Source organism: Homo sapiens, chromosome 14 (assembly GCF_000001405.40).
Source record: "Homo sapiens chromosome 14, GRCh38.p14 Primary Assembly".
NCBI lineage: Eukaryota > Metazoa > Chordata > Mammalia > Primates > Hominidae > Homo > Homo sapiens.
The window spans coordinates 64,720,089-64,738,443 of record NC_000014.9 but is presented as its reverse complement, the minus strand read 5'-3'; the positions used below and the strand labels follow the sequence as shown (position 1 = coordinate 64,738,443).

General features: G+C 53.9%; 1 protein-coding gene across 1 annotated transcript in view, besides 5 other annotated features; it reads right to left on the bottom strand.

The window, feature by feature from the left end:
* PLEKHG3 (pleckstrin homology and RhoGEF domain containing G3) overlaps positions 1-18,355 on the bottom strand; it is a 45,826-nt gene that overhangs the window by 11,806 nt on the left and 15,665 nt on the right. The window contains exons 2-14 of the mRNA NM_001308147.2: positions 10,462-10,851; positions 9,351-9,448; positions 8,132-8,201; positions 7,756-7,802; positions 7,495-7,645; positions 7,275-7,406; positions 6,901-7,083; positions 6,638-6,730; positions 6,263-6,349; positions 5,984-6,017; positions 5,543-5,641; positions 1,553-1,591; positions 1,069-1,088 (exon numbers count right to left, since the gene is read on the bottom strand). Coding sequence (NP_001295076.1) covers positions 1,069-1,088; positions 1,553-1,591; positions 5,543-5,641; positions 5,984-6,017; positions 6,263-6,349; positions 6,638-6,730; positions 6,901-7,083; positions 7,275-7,406; positions 7,495-7,645; positions 7,756-7,802; positions 8,132-8,201; positions 9,351-9,448; positions 10,462-10,812 — 1,404 coding nt within the window. The 5' untranslated portion in view covers positions 10,813-10,851. The remainder of the gene's footprint in view (positions 1-1,068; positions 1,089-1,552; positions 1,592-5,542; positions 5,642-5,983; positions 6,018-6,262; positions 6,350-6,637; positions 6,731-6,900; positions 7,084-7,274; positions 7,407-7,494; positions 7,646-7,755; positions 7,803-8,131; positions 8,202-9,350; positions 9,449-10,461; positions 10,852-18,355) is intronic.
* Positions 505-1,426: an enhancer, noted in NCBI's record as "H3K27ac-H3K4me1 hESC enhancer chr14:65203736-65204657 (GRCh37/hg19 assembly coordinates)". NCBI's record gives its function as "activates a minimal SCP1, AML or CMV promoter by ChIP-STARR-seq in primed H9 embryonic stem cells {active_cell/tissue: H9 hESC(primed)}" and the evidence as "EXISTENCE:reporter gene assay evidence [ECO:0000049][PMID:30033119]".
* Positions 1,427-2,349: an enhancer, noted in NCBI's record as "H3K27ac-H3K4me1 hESC enhancer chr14:65202813-65203735 (GRCh37/hg19 assembly coordinates)". NCBI's record gives its function as "activates a minimal SCP1, AML or CMV promoter by ChIP-STARR-seq in primed H9 embryonic stem cells {active_cell/tissue: H9 hESC(primed)}" and the evidence as "EXISTENCE:reporter gene assay evidence [ECO:0000049][PMID:30033119]".
* Positions 1,519-1,813: an enhancer, noted in NCBI's record as "tiled region #3043; HepG2 Activating DNase matched - State 8:EnhW". NCBI's record gives its function as "activates a minimal TATA promoter and a strong SV40 promoter by Sharpr-MPRA in HepG2 cells {active_cell/tissue: HepG2}" and the evidence as "EXISTENCE:reporter gene assay evidence [ECO:0000049][PMID:27701403]".
* Positions 8,555-9,206: an enhancer, noted in NCBI's record as "H3K27ac-H3K4me1 hESC enhancer chr14:65195956-65196607 (GRCh37/hg19 assembly coordinates)". NCBI's record gives its function as "activates a minimal SCP1, AML or CMV promoter by ChIP-STARR-seq in naive H9 embryonic stem cells {active_cell/tissue: H9 hESC(naive)}" and the evidence as "EXISTENCE:reporter gene assay evidence [ECO:0000049][PMID:30033119]".
* Positions 9,860-10,511: an enhancer, noted in NCBI's record as "H3K4me1 hESC enhancer chr14:65194651-65195302 (GRCh37/hg19 assembly coordinates)". NCBI's record gives its function as "activates a minimal SCP1, AML or CMV promoter by ChIP-STARR-seq in naive H9 embryonic stem cells {active_cell/tissue: H9 hESC(naive)}" and the evidence as "EXISTENCE:reporter gene assay evidence [ECO:0000049][PMID:30033119]".

The following is an 18,355-nucleotide window of genomic DNA, read 5'->3' as shown; positions in this document are numbered from 1 at the left end:
TCATGCTTGTTGGGCGTTATATTGATTAGTGCCCAGTACTGGAACAGAGCATGCCAGGGGCTCACCAGGGTGTGACAGCGAGCGATGGTGTTAAGTGCTGAGGGGAGGAGTAAAACCAGGGCAGGGTGGGGTGAGGAGGGCAGCAGAGGGGGCCCTCGGGTGGGCATGCACATCCCAGGGAGCATGCAAGGAGGAGGGGAGATCGAAGAGACACCTCACCATAGCGCCCCGGGAGAAAAGTAAAGCGTTGGCCCGATAGTGCCAGCAGTGGAGGGCGGCCAGCAGGGAGCTGGCAAAGTCGGCTACCTGCTCCGCCACCGCCAGGCTCTCCTCCTGCTCCTCCTCCTCCTCCTCTGAGCCTGGGGGCTCCGGCCCAGCCCCCTTCTCGTTGCCTTCATGCCCTGTCAGGTCCTCCAGAGAGACCTGAAAGGCCTGCTCTTCCTCCTCCTCCTCCTCCTCCTCCTCCACCACCTCCTCCTCTTCCTCTTCCTCCTCCTGGGTAGCCCCTTCAGCCTCTGGCTGCAGGCCCCGAGTACGGGAGGGCTGCCCAAAGTCCAGGAGGGTTCCAGCACTGCCTGCATGCTGTTCAGAGCACAAGACCCCCTCGTGACCAGCCTCTTGGGCAACCTCCCGTCCTCCTGCAGGCAGCTGCGGGGGGGGAGCCTTCACACAGAAAGCCACACCTAGATGCCCAACTCAGGTTGCCACTGGGGTCCAGGGAGGGGTGGGCATTCTCATGGTGGAAAGGCTGGGACCTGGTCAAAACTTCAGAACCCAAACAGGCCTGCCTACTTGTCTACCCTAGGGAGAGGGAAATCTGAGTAGGTCCACACTGGGCAGGCCCCCAGCAGGGTGCTGTTCTAGGCAGAGGGTGCAGAAGGGCCCCCAGGGCAAGGCCCATGTCTTATTCATCTCTGTGGCCCTAAGCCACACAGCCTGGTACACAGTGGGTGCTTAGTAGGCATTTGTTGAATGAATGAAGACAATGAGGGCTGAAGGGGCCGGGGGCTGACCTGGGCAGTCCCACCCTCCTCTGTCAGCCAGTCCCCTCCTCCCACTGGCCTTTACCTTCATTCCTGCTGCTCGGGCTGCAGACATCACCACCGGGTCCCCCAGCACACGGGCGAGGGGCAGGGGAGGGGAGGGGAAGAGATCAGTAAGCAGGAAAAAGACCTCTGGACAGCTCCCTGGGGAAGTCCTCACTGGGGGCTCCTGCTCCCAGAACCCTCACCTAGTCTCCTGGGCTTTCAAAAGAATGACTGACAGAGCAGGGGCCCAGGGGCCACAGAGCAGCGCAGGTCTGTGCCTGTTGCTCGGCTCTCATTGTTTCCGGAGGAAAGGGCATGAGGCCTGTGCATGGGGGAGAGCTCCAGCCCCTCTCCTCAGCCAGCCAGGGGCGAGGCCCTCTTCTGGGGGGAATGGAGGCAGAGTTCCCTCTACACTATTCTGACAATCCTCCACCCTCAGGTCACACCCCAGGTTGTCGGCTGCTTCCCCTCCTCCCTCCTCCTCCCCCGCTCACTGGGAATGGCTGGCCACCTCACACACTCACCTTTCTCGTTGAGTTGCCTGAGCAGGTGTTTGGTTGGCTCTGAGGAGGAAAGCATGAGCAGAGTCAGCGCGGGCCAGGAAACTGCTGTGCCTGGCTGGGTCCCAAGCTCACAGCGCCACCAGCCCATCACCAGCTCAAAGTCCACTCTGGCTTGGCCCCCTGCAGTCATAGGCCCCAGGGAAGCTGCCTTCCACAGTGTCGGCGAGCCCCCTTGCACCTACGGACAGGGAGGCGGGCCCATCCATCTCCAGGACCCCCGCTGTGACTACCAGCCCTGCCGGAGCAGTACCACCCATGATGCAATGCATTAGGGCACCTGGCCCAGGGCCCTCGCGCAGGAGCCATAGGGAGGGGACTCAGTTCCATGCTACCCCCTTCAGACCAACTAGCAACATCTCCGGAGGTCCCTGGCTCCACCTCAAGCCCCTTGCCTCCCTGGCAATGAGCATATCAGCGCATCAGCTACACCCACTGCCAAGCCCCTCACAGCATCCCAGCTGGAAAGCAGAGGTCGCACCCGACTTTCTACGGCCCTTAAGGCTGGGCATCACGAAGCCTCGCTGACCGCTGGGGAGAGTTGCCCGGCTGTACGGAGAGTGACCAGGCTCTGGGGACAGGATACAAAACACATCCATTAGGCCAATGGTGTCATCACCGTGTACCCCAGCCTTTTTGAGGATACACCTGAGACTGGAGGGCAGGAATAAGAGGACCTTGTCTCAAGGTCCAGTTCTACAGAGCCTCGGCCTTCGCCTATCCATATCCTTGCCCAGCTGGCGGTAAGTGGGAGGCCCAGGGATCGCCATGATTTGCTACACACCTGGAGTCAGAAGGAAAGTCTACCAAGGTATCTTGCTGTTCCTCAGCAGGCAGGCCTGTTGAAGAACCTCTTTTCTGCTGACACACACAACATACATACACTATCTGTATCAATGTAAGTAAATGCCTAATTGTTTTTAAAGTGAAAAGTAGAAAATGTTCTATTCTTTCATTTTAAAACTTATCAAGAATATTTAATAAGTGAGACATAATTTAAATTAAACAATAGAACTTAATTATCAATAGAATACACTTGTCAGCTCATCTCAGCTCTCTGAGTGGGAAGCAGAAGCAGAAAAAACCTCAAGGAAGTCAGAGTAGATGGCTGAGCCCAGGCAGTAAAGTGCCTGCATGTGGCCCAAGTCCCTCCCTAGTGACTTTCCTGATCTTTTTGTGGTCTACAGTTCCCACAAGTTCAACAGATTGATTTCTTTTTTTGTTTTGTTTTGTTTTGTTTTTTTGCAACAAGGTCTCATCTGTCAGCCAGGCTGGGTGGGTGCAGGGGCACGATATCCATTCACTGCAACCTCTGCCTTCCAGGCTCAAGTGATCCTCCCACCTCAGCCTCCAGAGTAGCTAGGACTATAGGTGCACACCACCATGCCTAGCTAACTTTTTAATTTTGTAGAGATGAGGCCTCACTGTGTTGTCCAGGCTGGTCTTGAACTCCTGGACTCAAGTGATCCTCCCACCTCAGCCTCCCAAGGTGCTAGGATTACAGGAGTGAGCCACCACACCTGGCCTGAACGATCGCTTTCTAACAGACAGGAGGGGAAGAAGGGCTACTACAGACAAGCATACTTAGACCAATGAAAACAAATACTTCAGTGTTACAGAAGAACCGTGAAGAGGGGCACGACACACCAAACACAGGCTGTCTCTATGGCAACCCACAGCCTCTGGGGCCCCTCAAGCATCTGGCAGTTCACACACCCTAAGTGATGCTGTAGCATTAACTCCAGAAAAGGAAAGGTTCAACGGTGGCCAGCACCTTCTGTTTTAAAAGGCTCAAGAGTACAAAACATGCTTTAGAAAGATGTCTATTTCAGCTAGGCGGGATGGCTCATGCCTGTAATCCCAGCACTCTGTGAGGCCGAGGCGGGTGGATCACCTGAGGTCAGGAGTTCGAGACCAGCCTGACCAACATGGTGAAACCCTGTTTCTACTAAAAATACAAAAAAAAAACTAGCTGGGCGTGGTGACGCGTGCCTGTAATCCCAGCTACTCGGGCGGCTGAGGCAGGAGAATCACTTGAACCCGGGAGGCAGAGGTTGCAGTGAGTAGAGATGGTGCCACTGCACTCCAGCCTGGGTGACAGACAAGGAAGGAAGGAAGGAAGGAAAGAAGGAAGGAAGGAAGGGAGGGAGGGAGGGAGGGAATTTCATAACTGTTAAAACATTTTTTAAATATTTTTTGAAAAAATCCAACTCTTAGTATTTACAGGCTAAAAATCTCAGCCATGTGGAAACTTCAGCTCTTTAAAATGGCTCATTTCCTGAGTGCCTTGGACACCTAAAGTTTGGGGGCTTTTTGTAACAGCTTTATTGAAATATAATTCAAATACAATTCACCTATTTAGAGTGTACAATTCAACGGCTTTAAGTATATTCAAAGAGTTGTACATCCATAGCTAAAGTTTCGATGCTAACACTAGGATAGAGCTACTATCACTACCACCAACGTTATCACTTGCTGAACACATCAGTGTGCTAGAAGCTTCAAATTTTAAGGTATGGCAAGTTGAGGAGGACAAGAAGAGAATTACAGGAGAAGAAAAGAAAAGAGAAGAGAAGAGAAAAGAAAGAGGGCTAGAGAGAAGAAAGCAACACCCCTATTTGGAGCTTTTAACTATAAAAACCATAAAACTTTTGCAACCATAGCAAGGTGGCCTAGGGCTCAAGATCCACCCAGAGCAATACCAACAACATAAAACCACAAAAGCCTTCTATAAGCCACTGCTCCACCTTCTCGAAGGCTAACACCCACATGTCAATCCACACACACATTCAGGGGACCCACAGGTCATCACCAATCAAAACCCAACACATCTGTGGGACCCAAGCCAGGACACCACTCTCAGTCACTTTAGAATCCTTCTCTCCCAGGGTCTTAAAGACAATTCTCACCCCAACTCCCACCTTGGGTATATGTTTGGCAGACACCTGGCTTAAGCCAGACCTGTCCTTGGGCCTTGCACTAAATAGCAACGAAAAAACCAATTTTGAAAACACACACACCCATCACCACGGAGTTTAGAATAAAAGCAAGGTTTTCTCTTTTCAAATAGACGATTCATTCCAATAATCCAAGAACACCCTAGCAAGTCCAGGAATGGAAGAAAACTCAAGGGAGGAAAATGGAACCTTTTCCTGAGACCCAAAATAAATATTTCCTGTCTGGGTTTGGTGCCACTGAACTCGTTTTCCCCGGGTCCTGCTTCTGCTCGGTTGTTCCAGGACTGGGCTGGGCCCATCCGCCATGTCCAAGTGTCACTCCTGAATGACTTGGTGTTGGTATTCCAGAGAGGCAAAGGAGGGAGGGGGCTAAGAAGGGGTGCCAAGGCCGGAGCGAGCAAGTATTCCTAGGGCCTTGAAAAAGGTGGGCTGGACGGGTACAGTGGCTCACACCTATAATCCCAGTACTTTGGGAGTCCGAGACGGGCGGATCACCTGAGGCCAGGAGTTCGAAACTAGCCTGGCCAACATATAGTGAAATCCCATCTCTACTAAAAAATACAAAAATTAGTTGGGTGTGGTGGTGCACGCTTGTAGTCCCAGCTACTTGGCAAGCTGAGGCAGGAGAATCGCTTGAACCCAGGAGGCAGAGGTTGCAGTGAGCCGAGATCGAGCCACTGCACTCCAGCCTGGGCAACAGAGCAAGACTCCATCTCTCAAAAAAAAAAAAAAAAGAAAAAGAAAAGAAAAGAAAAGAAAAAAGTAAGAAAAAGGTGGGCTCCAGACCTGGTAGGCAACGAGGGCCCAGGGGTACCTGGTGTGGGGAGCACCAGCACAGGGAGAGGATGAGCCCCAGGTGTGTGTCCAGCCCCGCTCTAGCCTTTCCCAGGGTTTCCGCAGAGGTGAGAGCCACAGCCCTGGACACTGCCGCAGACGGTCCCCAGTCTGGGCAAGGGTGTGAGGGAGAGGCCTCCTGCCTCCACAGCCCTTCTCTTACCAGATTGCCGGCGCCCCTGGCGCACATTGGTGGACACCTCATCCTGGGAGGACCAAGCCTTCTTCAGCCGCTCTGGGCTGCAGCGGTACCGATTGGGATCTGCACCCAGGAGAGAGACGATCAAGCTTTTGATTCCCAATTGGCCTTGGCCTACCCTAGACCCTGTCCATAACCAGCCAGACCTCTATACCCACCCAGCTCCAGGGCCAGGAGCCTCCAGAGCTCCCTCCATCTTCCAGCTGGGAGCTTCAGGCACTGAGAGTCCCACCGCTCAGCAGGAGAGCATCCTTAATCATGTAGTTCACCCCCCAGCCCTTAACAGGAGACCCCCGCCCTCCCTGCTCCTGGAATAAAATTATCAGGTAAAGCTTCCCCAGGATGCAGCCTGACCTAGCAATGTGCACGATTAGGGACAAAACAGGCAGAAAAGGGTACACTTACAATAGGAATCCATTTCCAAGATGGCTTCCTTGGCCTGAAGGGGAAGGAAACACACCTGGTTATTACCTTACCATGTGCCGGCCTTCCCTGCCCATAGGACCCACTGTTGCTGTACGAGGACACCCCACAGTGCTGCACCAAGGCCCGGGGCATCTGCTGTACTGACACTCACTGTCCACTGGAGCCCAAATCCAGAAGGTGAGCCCCCAATGGACCTTGCAGAGCTGGCTCAGAGGAGCACATTCTCCTTGCACACAGTCAGGAGCTGGGGGAACTCACCTTCTGGGGAATGGTGGCATGGTGGTTCTCTAGGATGAGCCTCTTGATGTGGTGAGTCCAGTTCCGTTTCTCCTCCACTGTCTTGGCCTGGGAGGACCCAAGGGAAAGGGACCCAGTGGTTATCATTACAGGCCTGAAGCTGTCTAGCATGGACAGTGCTTCCACCCAGGGAGAAAAAGTGGGGCCATGCTGGGGCCTCTGTGAGGTTAACCTGACTCCTCACTTTGACCCTGAGAGGTGCCTGCAATGATCCTTGCCTCACAGATGGAGACACTGGGGCTTGGGGCAGCTAGGTGAGCAGAGGAGCCAGGAGTCCCACGCAGGTGTCCCCTGGGCATCTTGTTCCCTAGCCCCTGAGCCCCACCTTCCCCTCACCTGGATGCTGTACTGCTGCTTGCTGTGCTTGTAGTGGGTGACAGTGAAGCACAGGGAGTCTCTGGTGCTTTCGATCAGCATCAGGGAGGAGCACTAGGGGCAGAGGGAAAGGACAGTCAAGCACAAGGTTGACAGCCTGGGGAAGCAGGGAGGGTGATCTCAGAAGGGTGGTGCTGGAGCCCCAAGAAGCAGACAAGAAGGGGAGCCCAGATCCTTTGGGAAGGAGAGAAGATGGCAGAGGAGATGGGGCAGGGCCTGGTTACCGGGATGTTGCCCTTGTAGACAAAGTGATCGCCCCGCTTCTTGGTGATAAGCAGTGTTTTGTCAAAGAGGAAAAAGGTCCTTTCATTGCGCACGCGATGCACGCGGAATGTGCCCTCCAGGACAAGCTCCCCGTAGGTGGTCAGGTCGGGCCCCTTCCAGTTGATGAGGAGTGACTGAATCTCCTGCAGCAGAGGGGCCCCAATCCCTAGAGTCAGGCCACTGGGGCCTTAGGAGGCTCTGCAAACCCTGCCACAAAGGCTCCCCCAATGCCACTGCCCAGCTCATCCCAGCAGGGTGGCCACAGTCCCTCTTCCCAGCGGAAGCCTGGCCCACCCAGCCCTGCCCCTCCCCCAGCGTCCCAGCCCCAGAGCACCTGGAGCCGGACCGCGTGCTCATGCCTCCTCTTCATGTCGTTGATGTACCAGGCCACACAGGTCATGGTGTCAATGGCATCCTCCACCACCTCAAAGCCATCCTCTTCTTCATCAAAATGCTTGGCAATTTCCTGCGCAGAAGATAGACGCTTAGGTGCCCCTGACCCGAAGGCCCTGCCCTCCCCAGGCCCTAGGTGCTTGGGAGGACCGAGGGGCTACCTGGAGCAGCAGGTGGTACTTGAGGATGCGCTGGACTGGCTTCAGCAGGTAGGAGCCCAAGGGCAGCGAGTGCTGTAGCAGCTCCTGCCGGTCCCGAAAGAACTTGGCCTGCTGCTTGTCCCGCATGCATTCCGTCAGGGCGGCCACGGAGCTGGGAGTGGGAGAAGGGCCAGTCACCACCTGGGGAAGGCCTGGATGAGGAAGTGGGGGGCTCTGGACTCACCAAATGGCTCTGCCTTCCCTCTCACCCCAATTACTCACTTGGGGTAATTGTTGCAATACTGAGTGTAGATATCAAACTCTTGGCTCTAAGAAGAGATCAAAAATAGTGATTTCAGGGAGATTCTCATTTGACAGTAAAGATGGTGGTAGCAGATAGGCCCCTGGCCCCCAGAGCACCCTCTGTCCCCTGTTCCCAAATGCCTACAGAGCCATCTTTATACCTATTTGTCAAGGACATCCCATCCACCCAGCAGCCCTGGCTCCCCTCAGAACACCCTTCTCATTCAAGATAGAGCACCCAGGACTTTCCCTGGAAAGGAATCCCCAGGACTCAGATGTCCTCTTATGCTGGCAGTTCTTGTCTCTCTGAGCTCTCAGCAAGGTAGGACAGAGGCAAGGACCCAGCCCTTCTTACCCTTTCCACAAAGCAGCTGGCCACAGCCACGGGGTCACTATTGCAGCTGTCCAGGTCTCTGAGGAGCTGGCTGGGTGAGGGGAGAGCAGCCACTGTACCCTCTGCAGTCAGAGGACAATGCCCCTCACTGCCCCCTCCCCAACCTCCCAAACCCTGACTGACAGCCAGCCCTATTGCTTTGCTAAAGAACTGGGGCTTCTAGCCTCAGAGGGAGTCCTGCCCCAGGCAGCAACCACAGAAAGTATCCAACACAAAGCAGCCACAAAGCAGGAAGTCAGGGAGACCTACAGGCTCAACAAGAGGGAGATGAAGAGGGGACCCCCATACCCACCTCGGGAGGGGACACAGCTCCTCTGCAGGCAGAAGGAGTCAAACACACAAAAGCAGAGGATTAAAGGGTGAAGGAGAGAGAATGGGGACTAGCAAAGGAGCCAGGGCGCCCAGGATGTGGGACATGGGGAGAGACAGGTGAGTCCTGGCACCCCTAGAAACACTGCTCCCTGCCTCCTCCCTCTGTGCTCCTCCTCTTTTCCCAACCCCTCACCATTGGCCTAAGTCCTCCCTGCACCCTGCCCTCCCAGACTTCTCCAGCTTACACAGCCAGAGCTCCCTCTGCCCATCTTAAGGGGCCTGGGATACGATTCTTCCTGTCCTAGCACCGCTGTTCCCTCAAGCCCTGCCCCTCCAGAGCAGTGCACTTTCCCGGGGGAGTCTGTGGTCCCAGGCAGGAGACCCATGCCTTTTGCCCTGACACAGCCCCTGGTCAGGCCTTGTTTGGCTTCCCACATGTGTCTTGCCTGGGTTGTGCAATCCACTAATAGGTCAGATCATCTCCAGGGAGCCCTTGGGGTCAGTGGAAAGGAGGATAAGAAATTAACAGATGTGCAAATGGAAAATGAAGATGAGAAGGACAGGGAAGGTTCTCTTCCACAGGGAAGAGAACCAGTGTGCAAGGTAGGGCCCAGCAGCCCCTTGAGGGGGCACCGGCTCAGGATGGACCCAACATGCACACAACCTCAAATTACCTCCCCGTCTGCCCTTGAGAGAAAGCAGATCAGCCCAGGGCACAGAGATGGACAACCCTTCCCTGTCCTCAGAGATCAGGCCCCAGGCCCACATGTCACAGGCCCATGAGACCAGGGACATCCAGGGTTCCTCCCTAGGCCCTGAGGTGGGCCTCGCAGGCAGAACATGGTGAGTGTCAGGCCCATTCACACACCTGTTCAGCGCGTAGATATTTTCTATGTTCCCAAAGAGGGCGCTGACCTGTTCTGGCTTCAGCAGCCCGGGTGTGTCAATGATCTTCAAGAGGTAGTCCTGCGTGGAGGGAGGTGGTCAGAACCTAGCCCCCGGCACAACCCTGCCCACTACCTTCCCTAGCCACACCTCGTTTCGGCCCTGCTGTAACACCACTTCACGGACATTGCCTACTGTGAGACAGTGTCCACCCCAAAATTCATGTCCACTTGGAACCCCAGAATGTGACTTTATTTGGAAATAAGGTCTTTGTGGATGCCATTAGTTAAGGATCTCAAGATGACTTCAGATAGGATTTAGGGTGGGCCCCAAATCCAGTGGCTGCTGTCCTTATAAGAGGAGAAGGAGGACACAGAGAGACACAAAGAAAAAGGTGATGGGAAGGTGCTGGGCCGCATCTCCAGGCCAACAATGTCAAAGACTGCCAGGACCCCAGAAGCTGGATGACAGGCATAGAATGCCTACTCCCTCAGAGGCTCTGAAGGGAGCCAACCCAGCCAACACATTGATTTTTGGACTTCTGGCCTCCTGAACTGAGTGAGAACACATTTGCTGTTTTAAGCCACCCAGTGTGTGGTCATTTGTTAAGGCAGCCCTAGGAAACTAATCCACGCCCTGAGCCAGTGGGGCAGAGGGCTTCCTCAGTGGCAGCCACACAGCTGCCCTTCCGTGCCCTTCACCTACAAGGTAGGTGTCGCTTCCTCTTACAGAGGAGGAACCTGAGGCTCCGCACAGCCAGGAAACAACAGGGCAGGGGATGCATGGGGCCAGGCCCAGAGCCCATGTCTTCACTCCATTCAGTCTCTGTGGCACAGGCTCTCTAGAGCCATCTTCCCAGGCAGGCTGGGGATCCACCCTATCAACGATGCTCACTCCTGTCGGCCCAAGCTACTGATCTGGCCCAAGGTCCTAGGGAAGCCTCAGGGGTCAACAGCTTTCACAGTGCAGTCAGCGAGGGTGGGAGACCCCAGTTCTCCAACTACTTTATGGGAAGCAGGTCTTTTGAGAGCTTCCCTCCCAGGGTGAAACAGGCTTCTGCTAGAATACTGTGCCGCAAGGCCTCCGACACGCACCTCCACGATGCTGCGCAGGTCCTGTACGTACATGCGCTCTGTCTCCACGATCTCCCGCACCACTCGGCCCAGGTAGCTGAGCTTGTGGTGTGCAGGCCCTGCCGCTGCCCGGCTGTTGAACGGGGAGAGGGGCCCCTTCACGTTCAACCAGCTGCTGGAGTTGTTGTTGCTGTTGGGCAGATGCCGGCTTCTCAGGGAGCCTGCCCCATTCTTGGCGGGAGCCTCGGAGCTGCTGGGCTCCTCCATGGCACTGCGACTGTCACAGGAGGAGCCCGACGAGGAGGTGGTAGAGGTCAGGCTCACCGGCCGCTCCTGGCTGCCATCCTGGTGGAGGGAGGTGGACACAGGCATCCTGGCATTGCTGCCTGGGGAGGGCACCCCAGGGAGATTCTGCAACAAGACAGACAGATGAAGGGTCAACCTCTGAATGCCCACAGAAACAGAACAGAGGGACGGTTGCCAGGGGTGGGGGCAGGTGGGGTGGGAAGGTATTATTTAGTGCATCCAGAGTTCAGTTTTAGAAGATGAAAAGGTTCTGTGGATAGACAGTGATGACATTGCACAATGATATGAATGTACCTACTGTCACTGAACTGTACACTTAAAATGGTGAAGATGGTAAATTTTATGTTATGTGTATTTACATTTAACACAATTAACAAAACAAAACTGAATCCCAAGAAGGGCCCTGTTCTCAGACTCTATGAGCACTGATGAGGGTGCCCAAGTCCACCTGCCAGCACAGTGGTCCAGGTACCCTCTAAGGAATTCACAGCCCAGCCCCACTGCTGGGGCACAGTACTTAGTCCCTCAGAGCCTCAGCTCCTCACCTGTAAAATGAGGATGGATACAGCCTACCCCATGGCTGTGTCCTCCCAGATGAAGCCACCTGCTGTTCGTAAAGCTCTGAGCATGATGCCTGGCATAGGGTACGTGCTCCATACACCATCAATATGGTGATAATAATGGCAGTTGTGAAGAAGAACTTCCCAAGTGCCCCCCTGTCTGTGGCCTGTGCTGGGGTCACTGTACAGGGATGGGCAAAGATCTGGTTCTTACAATGTTAAGACAAGACACATAACAGGGGTAATATTCTCCCTAAGACTGCAAAACCTCAGGGGCACCGGCGGCTTCACCACAAACCTGAAACTTTCTGGATACTGACTGGCTGAGCCAGCATTATCCCCCGACTCCGCAGCCCCACCCCAGCACCTGGTACAGGCTGCCTCTGACTCATCCCAGGCCCCAGGAAATTCCCCAGGGCTAAGCCATCAGTGAGTCTCTGTAAGCTCCCCTTGGCACAGCTGGGCGGGGGCAGCAGAGAAAGCAGTAAACTGCACCCAGGTGAGGCAAACAGAGCCTCAGGTGGACTTTATTCCCAAAGCAGATGGTGTGGCTCACAGGCAGGCCCACCTGGAGCAGCCGGGGGATGGAAGGGTGGAGTGGCCAGACTACTTCAGGCTGCAGCCTTTGGGAAGGACAGGGACACCCATGCAACACCCATGCCCACCCCTTAGAGCTCACCAATGCCACTTTGCAGAGTACACATTTCATTGCTATTTCACAGGAAAACAGTAAGTTCCTGGGCATCCCTCTCACCCCTACTGACCCGAGTCTTCTACCCCTAGCTCTAGGGCTCAGAAGTGACTAGACCCCAGACATGACTAAAGGGCAGAGACTTGAGCTACAAGGAGAAGAATCTAGAAGCTGCCATTACTCTGGGAACCCTTGACACTGACCCCTGGTTTTCTGTGCCTATGCCTCAACCTGGAAACCAACACCCCTGGGTCTCCGGCTTTTGCAAATGTTCTCTCTGCCTTGGCGTTATCTCGTCCCCATCCACCCCATACAGTACCATCCCCCAACCTATGTAATTTACATCCAATCTTTAGGTCTCCAATTAGACATCGCCCCCTCCAGGAACCTTCCAATATCCCCCAAACCTGGGGAACTCTTTCTGTGTTCTCTTACTACCTCCCAGGTTTCTCCTACTGTAGCACTGGCCTGAGACAGTGTGACTAGTTTGAGACCCTCTGCCCTACACCATTAGTTACTAAAAAGCAGGGGTCTTAAGGGCCAATTTAACAAATGAACAACAATGGTGAACAAACTGATGCTTTTACTGAGGTACAGATCAAGCGCCTCAAGACCTACTTACCACCTGCCGCTAACCTGGCCGGGATGCTCTGGAGCACAGCACTTTGTCACTGTGTCTCACTGGAGGGGGTCACCTCCAAGGAGCTCTGTATGAGCCTCTCAACTTGCAGATGGGGACTCAGTGGCAGCCCAGTGCTCCCCTCCGCAGCCCAGTGCAATGCCCAGAGGGCTAATTAGCAGGATCATTTTGGTAAAGCTCTTTGAGCTGCTCAGAAGAGAGCCCCCTGGGAATTGTAGGGCTGTTGCTTTTTCCTCCCTCCTCAAAAGGGCCTTTACAATTAATCAGCTATGCCTTTTACAGAACCAGCAGGCAGGGCAACACCATGTCATTCCAGCACTGACAGATAAAAACCCAAGCTCCACCCCAGCCCTTAACCCCCAGCCCTGTGGCACTCTGATGTCCTTCAAAGTGCACTGCAGTCAGGCACCCCACCCACCCACCACCACCATCCCAGCAGGGAACAAAGGGGCAGGGATTTACAGCCTAAGACCTTTCCCAGATCACATCTGGGGTCAGTCAGCTTCTCTGGGGAAGCTAAATGGAAACGGCCCCACTCCCAAATGGATTTCACAGCCAGCCAGTTCACAGTCTTAAAGCAAAAGATTACTCACAGCCCCACCCCTACCCCAACACACACACCATTAGGGAGATTTGTCTCTAAAAGGGACCTTTTGAGGGTCCCTCTCTGGGGATCCCACTGTAAGAGGATAGCAACATAAGCACACTTCAAACCCAGAAACTAATATGTCTTTTCTACTTACAGAAGTTTTCTCTCTGATTGATCATAGGCTACCTGTCTGCAAACTAAGCTCCTATCTCCTAAGGCTAAAACAAAGCATAACAGCCAACTGCTGAAATGCTCTGAGCGCTCTGTATATATTAAAGTGCCTAACCCCTTGCAACAACTCCAGAAGGTAGGTTCTATTACTACCCTCATTTTATACATGCAGGTACTGAGGCCACAGAAGTAGTAAGTGGTAGAGCCTGGACTTGAACTCAGGCACTGAGGCTCCAGAGTTCATGCTCTCCTGCCCACTGCCTCCCTAATGGACTACACACCAGACAGGGCCACAAGCAAAGGATTGGTCACAGCCCTGGCTGCCATGGCTTTGCTTCAGCATAAGCTGCAGGGGACATATGAAGACCTGAAGGATTGGGGCTTATGACATGACACTCGGAAGGACTGAGTCAAGATTCCTTAGGGCAGTTTTTGGGCCTGCTACTATGTGACCTTTGGCCATTCATTCTCTGGCTGGAACAATATGGTAAAATACAGATTCCCGGTCAAAGGATCACAGGTCATGGGTAAGCAGAAAGGAAGAGGGAGAAAGTATGAGGTCACCAGGATTGGACTATAAACTTCTTGGATGACGAGAGAAGCCCTGTAGTGACCAGGAGACCCACGATCACAAGGCTCTCTCTCTCTTGGGCAGGAGGACTTGCTGGAAAAGAGCCAAGAGCCCAAGAAAGGGAGGGCTGAAGAACAAATGAGGCACTGAGTACAAAGCAGGACACTAGTGCAGACTGTCAGGAGGCACCGTTTGATGGTGACGGATAAGAGGCATCGCTCTCAGAGTGCATTCTGAGTGCACTGCACTCAGCTGGAGTGCATTCTGGCCCTAAGACACCGGATTGGAACCATTATGTGTGTGTAGCTCAGACTCCCACAGAGACAGTTAAAGTGCCTCCCCTGGTGCTCCCCGGGCGGGGTCAGCCTTTCCTTCCTACCTGAAGAGCACCACTCCATACTATAAGATTCCCCCAAGCCAGGATGAGAACTCAGGTCTTCAAACACATCTCGGAAGACCCTGTCTGCTAGGGAAGTAGGAGGCCAGAGAAGGAGGTGATGAGGCAGGCAGCAACCAAACCCTCAAACCAGGTACCCACGCCTACCCCATCCTACCACATACGGGTCTCCAGTTCTCTTAAGTATGCCCCAGCCATGACCTCTTCCATCTTGCAACATGAATCAATCCAGTCAGTCATCAATCAGTGAATCAGTCTTCTAGAAAACTCGCTTTCTCGGCCAGGCATGATGGCTCACGCCTGTAATCCCAGCACTGTGGGAGGCAGAGGGGGGCAGATCACTTGAGGTCAGGAGTTTGAGACTGGCCAGGCCAACATGGTGAAACCCCATCTCTACTAAAAATACAAAAATTAGCTGGGCATAGTGGCAGGTGCCTGTAATCCCAGCTACTCGGGGGGCTGAGGCAGAAGAATCGCTTGAACCTGGAAGGCAGATGTTTCAGTGAGCTGAGATCGCGCCACTGTACTCCAGCCTGGGTGACAGCATGAGACTCCATCTCAAAAAAAAAGAAAAAAGAAAACTCTTTCTCAAGTCCTATACTTGTGAAACCTTCTTTGAGCAGGTCCCCAAAGACTTTTCTCTTTTTTTGAGGCAGGGTCTCCCTCTGTCACCCAGGCTGGAGTGCAGTGGTGCAATCACAGCTCATTGCAGCCTCGACCTCAAGCGATCCTCCTGCCTCAGCCTCCTAAAGTGCTGGGATTAACAGGTGTGAGCCACCACACCCAGCCAGGCTTTCTTTTTGATGGGCCTAAGCAGCAGCTCAGACATACACCTTTAAGGATCCAGGGGCAGAAGAGGGGGAGAGAGGGAGGTTTCTTTTCTTTTTCTTTAAATTTAAGCCTAAACCACACCACACCCTTCCTCCACCCACACCTACCCTCTGGAGGAGCTTCCCTGAATATTGCAGGTGCAGAGGCAGGCAGGCTACAGCAGGCCCCTGGATTCCGAGCACAGCAGACTGGGGCCACATCCTTCCCCTCCCCACTACGCCTCAGCACCATGCCCCATTCTGACCCAACAGGAAAGAAAAAAGGCACACCCTCATAACCCACAACAGCCTCAGTGTTCTGTCCTCAGGTCTCCTGTCACTGAGGCAATGGGACCCTGCTCCTCCCCTATCCCACAGGATTACGGGGAGCCTTCTGGAACTCTGTGTCTCTGGTCTTGGGGAATGCCCAGGAGTCAGCCCACTCCCACTGGCTCTCCCTCCCAGGCCAGTGAGTTGAGGACAAGGCAGGAGAGGGGAAGAGGACACTTGGGGGTGAACCCTCTGGTGGGCACACCAGACTCCCCAGAAAACATTCTGGTTCAGAGGCTGATGTCGTCATTTCATCCACTGCCCTTCACCCCACACTCAAGAATGAGAAGCCACACCGCACCACAGCTGCTTTGGAGCCAGGCAGAAAACGAGCAAGGAGGGTCCCCATGGGGCAGCTGCTCCAAAGGCCCCAGCTGGGGAGGAATCCACACGGCACCTGCACACAGGGAAAGTCCTCGTGGCCAGGCGCAGTGGCTCACGCCTGTAATCCCAGCACTTTGGGAGGCCGAGGTGGGCGGATCACCTTTGGTCAGGAGTTTGAGAGGAGTTTGAGACCAGCCTGACCAATATGAGGAAACCCCATCTCTACTAAAAATACAAAAATTAGCCGGGTGTGGTGGCATGCACCTGTAATCCCAGCTACTCGCGAGGCTGAGGCAGGAGAATTGCTTGAACCCAGGAGGTTGCAGTGAGCTGAGATCGCACCACTGCACTCCAGCCTAGGCAATGAGAGCGAAACTCCATCTCAAAAACAAAAAAAGAAAGGAAGAAAGAAAGTCCTCACTCAGGAACGGCGATGGCGCAGCCCTCCTGTGTGGCCTTCATCCCTCAACTACATCATCTGCTAAACATTCCAAGGGCTCTCAAAGCCAGGGTGGCCCAGCGGCTTTTGTCCTTCCCCCAAACAATCCCCAAGACGGCACTTTCGGAATCCCTTCAAAAAGGGTGCCAGAAGGAAGCAATAGAGAAAAGCTATAACTTTTCCAGAAAAAACAGTGTGGGAGCAATGTGAACTTCCAGAGAGAGATCTCTCTCAACTAAGATCTCAACTAAGATGGTGAAATCCCTCGGCTGTGCTCTTACCCACAGCTCGGCACCACTCTGGGCCACCCGGCTCCCAAACTGTCCCCAGAGGCCCAGCTCTTGCCTGTGTGTTCCCACTGCTCCCTGCACCCTAGGGGCTCTCCTGGGGGAGGGGAGGACCCCCTCCTAGGGGACCCTTGCCCCCTTTCCCAGCAGTTTCCTCACTCTGACCCCTCCCATCCCTCCTGGAGATTCAGCAGCCCTGAGCACCGTAATAAAGCGCGAGAGAAGGCTCCCCGGGGAGTGACTTTGTGTGCATGTGAGCAACGTGACTGCCTGCAGAGGCTGTGCCAACAGTGTGACCAAGGTTTCTGGGCCACCCAAACCCAGCCCAGCTGGTTCAAATTCATTTTCCCTCAGGAATGCATTTTCCCACCACCTAAGAGCAGCAGGGCCCATGTAGTCTGGCTGGGTCCCTTGCAGCAGGACCACAGCTGCCAGGAAGGAAAAGGATTGTGTTGCCAGGGGAGCCCTCCCACATGGACTCCAGGAGAAAGCCTGGGCCTGCAACTGAAGTCCAGAAAGTTCCCTCGGCCTGACCTTGGAAGGAAAGGAAAGCCAGGCACCTAGCTCAGAGGGAGGGCTGTTCATCTACACCCCCCTGTCCCCACCTACCCAACATGTGCCCATGTTGTCTCCCAAACCTGGAATGTGTCCCCAGACCCTCTGCCTATACACATTTAGCAATCATCTCCTTCAGAGAAAGGCCTCCTCAACCATTTCCCAACATACACACTAGTGTAAGCTGAATAATGCCCCCACCCAAGGATATCTACAGCCTGACCCTCAACCTATGAATGTCACCTTATATGGCAAAAGGGACACATAGAAGGCAGATGTGATCAAATCAAGGATTTTAAGATGGAAGATTATCCTGGATTAGCCCGGTGGGCCTGATGTGATCATAAGGCTCCTCGTAAGAGGAATCCGGCAGGAGTCAGAGTCAGACAGAAGTTTGACAATAAAAGCAGAGGGACAGAGAGAAGGGAACTGGAAGATGCTACACTGCTGGCTTTGAAGATGGAGGAAGGGGCCACAAGCCAAGGATACAGGCAGCCTGGGAAGCTAGGAAGAGCAAGGAAACAAATTCTGCCCTGGATCCTGCAGAAGGAACCCAGCCATGCAAACCCAGTCTGACTTCTTACCTCCAGAACTTTAAGACAACAAATGTGTGTTGATTTAAGCCACTAAGATTGCAGAATTTGTTACAGTGGCAATAGGGAAGTAATATACTCCTCTGAACTCGAAACACCCTATCACTTAAAGCATTGGTCTTGGGGCTTGATATGTACATGCATCTCTTCTGGACAATACAGTAAAACCCAGTGGGCTGGGCCTTCTTTCCCATACCTTCCCTTCAGCCCCAGAGAGCAAGGCACATTAGGTGTTCAATAAATGCCTGCTGGAAGGACTCTGAGATGGCGCCGGGATGAGCTCACCACTCACACAGTCAAGAGAAAGGTAAACAGTGGGTGAGGTCAAGACCAAAGCCAGTTCCTCCTAGCCTAATGAGTCTCCACATTAGTCACTGCCAGCAAGTTTCCGATCAACCAAGAAGCGCCAGGATTGATGACTGCTCATTCACCCCGGTAGTCCCATCCTACTTGGCCCCAGACAGGGAGCTAGAGCACGGCATAGCTGCCCCGCTGGGCTACATACTAGGTGACCAGCCACAAGAGACTGGGAGGAAGGGGAAAGTAGCCAAGTTTAGAAAAGGGGCTGTGATGATCTGGTCTCCCTGCAAATGTCCCAGGAAAAGCAATCTGCCAGGAAGTTTCATGTAAACATATGCTAAAGCCAAATGGGG